At 46.7% G+C, this 5,167-nt stretch overlaps 2 annotated features.

Moving 5' to 3' along the window:
• Positions 643 to 1,182: an enhancer, noted in NCBI's record as "H3K4me1 hESC enhancer chr15:93105459-93105998 (GRCh37/hg19 assembly coordinates)". NCBI's record gives its function as "activates a minimal SCP1, AML or CMV promoter by ChIP-STARR-seq in naive H9 embryonic stem cells {active_cell/tissue: H9 hESC(naive)}" and the evidence as "EXISTENCE:reporter gene assay evidence [ECO:0000049][PMID:30033119]".
• Positions 1,183 to 1,720: an enhancer, noted in NCBI's record as "H3K4me1 hESC enhancer chr15:93105999-93106536 (GRCh37/hg19 assembly coordinates)". NCBI's record gives its function as "activates a minimal SCP1, AML or CMV promoter by ChIP-STARR-seq in naive H9 embryonic stem cells {active_cell/tissue: H9 hESC(naive)}" and the evidence as "EXISTENCE:reporter gene assay evidence [ECO:0000049][PMID:30033119]".

Genomic DNA, 5,167 nt, shown 5'->3' on the forward strand with positions numbered 1-5,167 from the left:
AAGGGTCAAAAGCATCCCAGCATATAGGACAGGGCACCAAGAGTGTCTACTACAACCAATTTGGGATATGGGGGAAGAAAGAATTTGGTGACATACACTCATCAAGTGTATTCAGTGCCCTTGCAATTTTGAAGAAGTCTGTGAAATCCCAAACTAGCCTAGACTTTCCACAGGTGGACAGATACTGGTGCCCAACCAGTAGGGCACTGGTCTTGCCATATAACCCTGGTCTCATTCCCCAGTCTTGGGGGAAAAAATGCAAACTGCCTTTGGGTCACGTCACGTCACCTCCACTGAGCCTGCTTCCAGTCCTTCCTGCCAACTCAGACCCCTCACTCATCAGCCATAATCGCCTCATAGGCCTCAGAGACACAATGGCCTGCAGCGTGGCCTGTCTGCTTGCTGAAAGTAGTATCTTATCTACCATTAGTAGATTAGTAGTTATCTTACCTACCATTAAGGGGCCCAGATTCATTCAATCCTTTTGGTCTTTCTTATGACACATATGCAAATAACCGCAGATTAAGGTAAACCTTACAAAAAGGAAATAAACATGAATATCATAAAATAAAGAAACCCAGTGCTGGGTGTCCATTCCTGGTAATCTGCTTGTCTTTACCATCCTGTTATAGAAATGCTATGCCTATATTTTTTCAGTAGGACCTACTATTACAGGAGCCAAATTCTCAGGCTAAAATAATAAAATATCACATTTTCTCAGATGCTTTGCCAGAGAGAAATTTTTCAGAAATCCACAGAGTAGGATTCAGCACATATTTCAAAACAGTTGAAGCAGTGAGACTGTGCAAGCAACAAACAAGACTTTAAATACACATCCATGAGTCCTTTTTTAAAGACGGGTCAAGTGCAGTAACATCTATGAATCTCAACTACTCCACTTTGCCCAGCAGTGTCTACTTGCTGCCCTGGGTGAGCAGTAACAGAAGAAATGCAGAGAAAGAAAGCAGTGTCTTTGGAGAGGATTGGAAAGCCAAGCTTGGCTTGGAAGACTTGTTGAAAGTTCCCTGTTCCTGCCCTGCTGCTTGGACACCCTGGAGAGGGAGATGGCGCCAGGGCTGGACCACAGGCAGGGCAAGGTGAGCTCCCAAGCTGGGAGGAAAGCAAGACAGATCTGGCAGAGCAGCCCCAAGGCTGGAGCTATCCAGAGGGACGCAGGAAAGTGGCGAGGGTTGGGCTTTTGCTCATAGGCCTGTCGGGGAAGGCAGCAGCAAAGCAGAAATTTCCAGGGCCTTAAGTGAGGCTAGCGGGCCTGCAGTCTCATGGGGGTTCTGGAGAGTGAAGCTGAGATGGCACAGGCGGAAGTGCCTGGGAGAAGGCCTCATACTCAGCACCCAAAAGAACCAGCACCCAGGACCTGTGTGCCACCACTCACCCTCTCACTGTTCCCACCCCCAATGTCTTGATGGGATATGTTGAGGCCCCCAGATTTCAGGTGCAAGTCCTGGGGAAGGAAAGATGGGGGATGAAAGCAAAAAGGTGCCAAATTCCAAGCATGCAAAAAACAAACAAACAGACAGACAGACAAAACTCAGATTGGCTGAATGATCTTGAATTAAGTTTCTACTATGGGATGAAATGAGAGTCCTGGATAGAAATGAAGTTACAGAAAGGATTTCATGCACACTGGGGCTTGGGGTTGAGAAATCTATACCCAGTTGGAGTACTTAGCCAGTGCCACGTAGATAATGAGCACCCAAATACAACAGACAATATTCTCCCCAAGGTCATGGTGTTTTGTCCTCCTCTAGTCTCCTTTAAAATAAATAAGCAAGGCTTTCCTTTTCCACAGACTTTTTGTTCTCCCTCACAATCTTCCCCCTCTCTCAAGGGGGAAAAAAATGTGCAAAGCACACCTCCTGTGTATTTTCCTCTCCTTCCTTTGGCTTCTGTCCAAGGCAACCCCAGGAGCTGGGGGTTAAGAGTTGCTACAACTGCTATCTTCTCAGCTGCCGGCCCACACTCTATCTGAGACGCTGGAGAAGCAGAGCCCACATGTCCTGCAGTGGAGTGAATTAATTGGGTCAGCCACTGCTGGGGCATCCTTCTTGCCATTGCCTCAAAGAAAGATCCTATGCCAGACTGGGCTTTTGGTGAGTGTTTGAACACAACCCTGAGGTCATTCCACCCTCCAACCATCAAAGACTCAGGAGCTGTATCTCCTGACATACACACACCCCATTCAAAGGAACACCTTAGCAACCCAGGGTTGTCAGGGAGCGGGAATGGTGGGGGTGGGGGCAGTTGTAACAGGTTGAGACCCAGGGGTTGGAACTTGAGGGTCACCTGCTCCACTATGTGCCCCACCCTCAGGAGCTGAGATACAAGGAGTCACTAGATGCAAATATACTAAACGCTGGATATCAATGAAAGGTTCCTTGCTAGTTTTAACGGCCCATCTAAGATCACAGCACTGACCCCAGTAAAACATTTAAGATGTATAAATGCAACACAGCATTTGTCCCGGGAAATAAAACACTAAAGATTACCTTATTCCTTGAAATATTAACTTTTAGAATAAGTGATGTCATTTTATTTATCATGGAGGTCAATTTGCCACTTCTCCTACTTTTCTTTAAAAAACCTGTTCATATACACTCTCCCATTCATTGCAAGAAATAACCAGTGAGATTGCTATGATGCGTTTTGCCTTTTAACAGATATTAAGTGTCTTGGCTGAAATCACCCAGCTGTCTAGGAAGGCGAAAACCACAGGCTGGGATGGACTCTCTAGAGTCAACAGGAAAGTGGAAGGGCCTCTACCAGAGATTTTGAAAGAAACAGGAAACAGTCCATTGCAGCTTTAAAATCTTGATTTTAAAAAACACCGGCTGGGCACAGTGGCTCACGCCTGTAATCCCAGCACTTTGGGAGGTCCAGGCGGGCAGATCATGAGGTCAAGAGACCATCCTGGCCAACACAGCAAAACCCGGTCTCTACTAAAAATACCAAAACTAGCTGGGCGTGGTGGCGGGCGCCTGTAGTCCGAGCTACTCAGGAGGCTGAGGCGGGAAAATCACTTGAACCCCGGAAACGGAGGTTGCAGTGAGCCAAGATTGTGCCACTGCACTCCAGCCTAGCAACAGAGCAAGACTCTGTCTTAAAAAAAAAAAAAAAAAAAAAAAAAACACCAGTGTGTTAGTTCATTTTGCATTGCCATAAAGGAATACCTGGGGCTGGGCAGTGTATAAAGAAAAGAAGTTTATTTGCGTCACCATTCTGCAGACCATGTAAGAAACACGGTGCCAGCATCTGCTTCTGCTGAGGCCTCAGGAAGCTACCATTTGTGGTGGAAGGTAAAGGGCGAGCAGGTGTGTCACATGGTGAGAGAGGGAGCAAGAGGGAAGGGAGGAAGTTCAAGCTCTTTAAACAACAGCTATCACATGAACTAATGGAGTGAGAACTCACTCACTACCATGAAGAGGTCACCAAGCCATTCATGGAGGATTCACCCCCATGATCCAAACATCTCCCACCAGGCCCCACCTCCAACATGAGGGATCAGATTTCAACATGTGATTTGGAGGGGACAAAAATCCAAACTATATTATTCCATTCCTTGCCCCCCAAATTCATGTCCTTCTCACATTGGAAAATACAGTCATCCTTCCCCAATAGTCTCCAAAAGTTCTAACTCATTCCAGCATCAACTCAAAAGTCCAAAGTCTCATCTGAGACTCAAGGCAATTCCCTTCCACCTATGAGCCCGTAAGATCAAAAACAAGTTGTTTACTCCCAATATATTGATACAATGGTGACACAGACATTGAGTGAATATTCCCATCCCAGAAGAGAGAAATTGGCCACAAGAAAGAGGCAACAAGCCTCTGCAAGTCTGAAACCCAGCAGGGAAGACATTAAATCTTAAAGCTTCAATATAATCTCCCTTGACCCCATGTCCCAAATCCTGGATACATGATTGTGTGGGATGGGCTCGCAAGGGCTTAGGCAGCCCTGCCTCTGTGCCTGCTTTGCAAGGTACAGCTGCTGTTCTTGCTCTCACAGGTTGGAGTTGAGTAACTGTGGCTTTTCTAGGCTAAGGTGCAAGTTGCTAGTGGTTCTACCATTCTGGAGTCTGGAGGGTAGTGGCCTCATTCCCACTGCTCCACTAGGTAGTGCCCTGGCGGGGGCTCTCTGTGGGGACTCCAACCCCACATTTTCCCTTGTAACTAACCTGGGATGTTCCCATCCTCTGGCTGGGATAAGGGAAGCAGCAACCCAAGGCAGCACCGAGTAGCAATGCCCCTGGCCTCGTCCCTGAAACCAGTCTGTCCTCTTAGGCCTCTGGGCTTGCGGTGGGAGGAGCAGCCTGGAAGATTTCTGAAGTGCCTTTGAGGCCTTTTTCTCATTGTCTTGACTAGTAGCACCTGCTTCCCTTTCTGTCATGCTAACCTCTCCAGCAAGTGGTTGTTCCTCATGCCTCTTGGATTCTTATCCTTTGGGTTCCTCTCCTGAAATGTTCTTTCCTTCTCTACCATGAGCCAGGCTGCAGATTTTCCAAGTTTTTACACTCTACTTCCCTTTAAATTGTAAGTCCCAACTTTAAGTCATTCCTTTGCCCCATATCTGATCTTAGATTGGTAGAAGCAGCCTTGCCACTTCTTGAATACTTGGCTGCATAGAAATTTTTTTTCCTCCAGATACCCTAAGTCATCACTCTGAAGCTCAGCCTTCCACAAAGCCCTAGGACATTGGCACAATGCAGCCAAGTTCTTTGCTAATGTGTGACGAGGGTGACCTGTGCTCCAGCTCCCAATAAGTTCTTCATTTTCATCTGAGACCTCATCAACCTGGCCTTCACTGCCCATATTTCTATGAGCATTTTGGTCATAATCATTTAACGAATCTCCAGTACATTCTGAGAAATAAAAATGAAATCCTAAGCCCTTCCCCCCACCCCAGACTACTGAATGGACCCCCCTGTTGGCCAAGGGGACCCCAAAAAAACCTTAAAACTGAGTCCCAGCCCTGATGCAATGGGAGGTCAAACATGCCTCATCAGAGCCCGTCCCTTGCTAACCACCGCTAGGCTTTCTTCTCTAAAGGCTAAGCAGGAACCAGCCCTTTCTCTTTTTAAAAATTAATTTATTTTACTTTAAGTTCTGGGATACATGTGTCGAGCGTGCAGGCTTGTTACATAGGAATACAT

Source organism: Homo sapiens, chromosome 15 (assembly GCF_000001405.40).
Source record: "Homo sapiens chromosome 15, GRCh38.p14 Primary Assembly".
Taxonomy (NCBI): domain Eukaryota; kingdom Metazoa; phylum Chordata; class Mammalia; order Primates; family Hominidae; genus Homo; species Homo sapiens.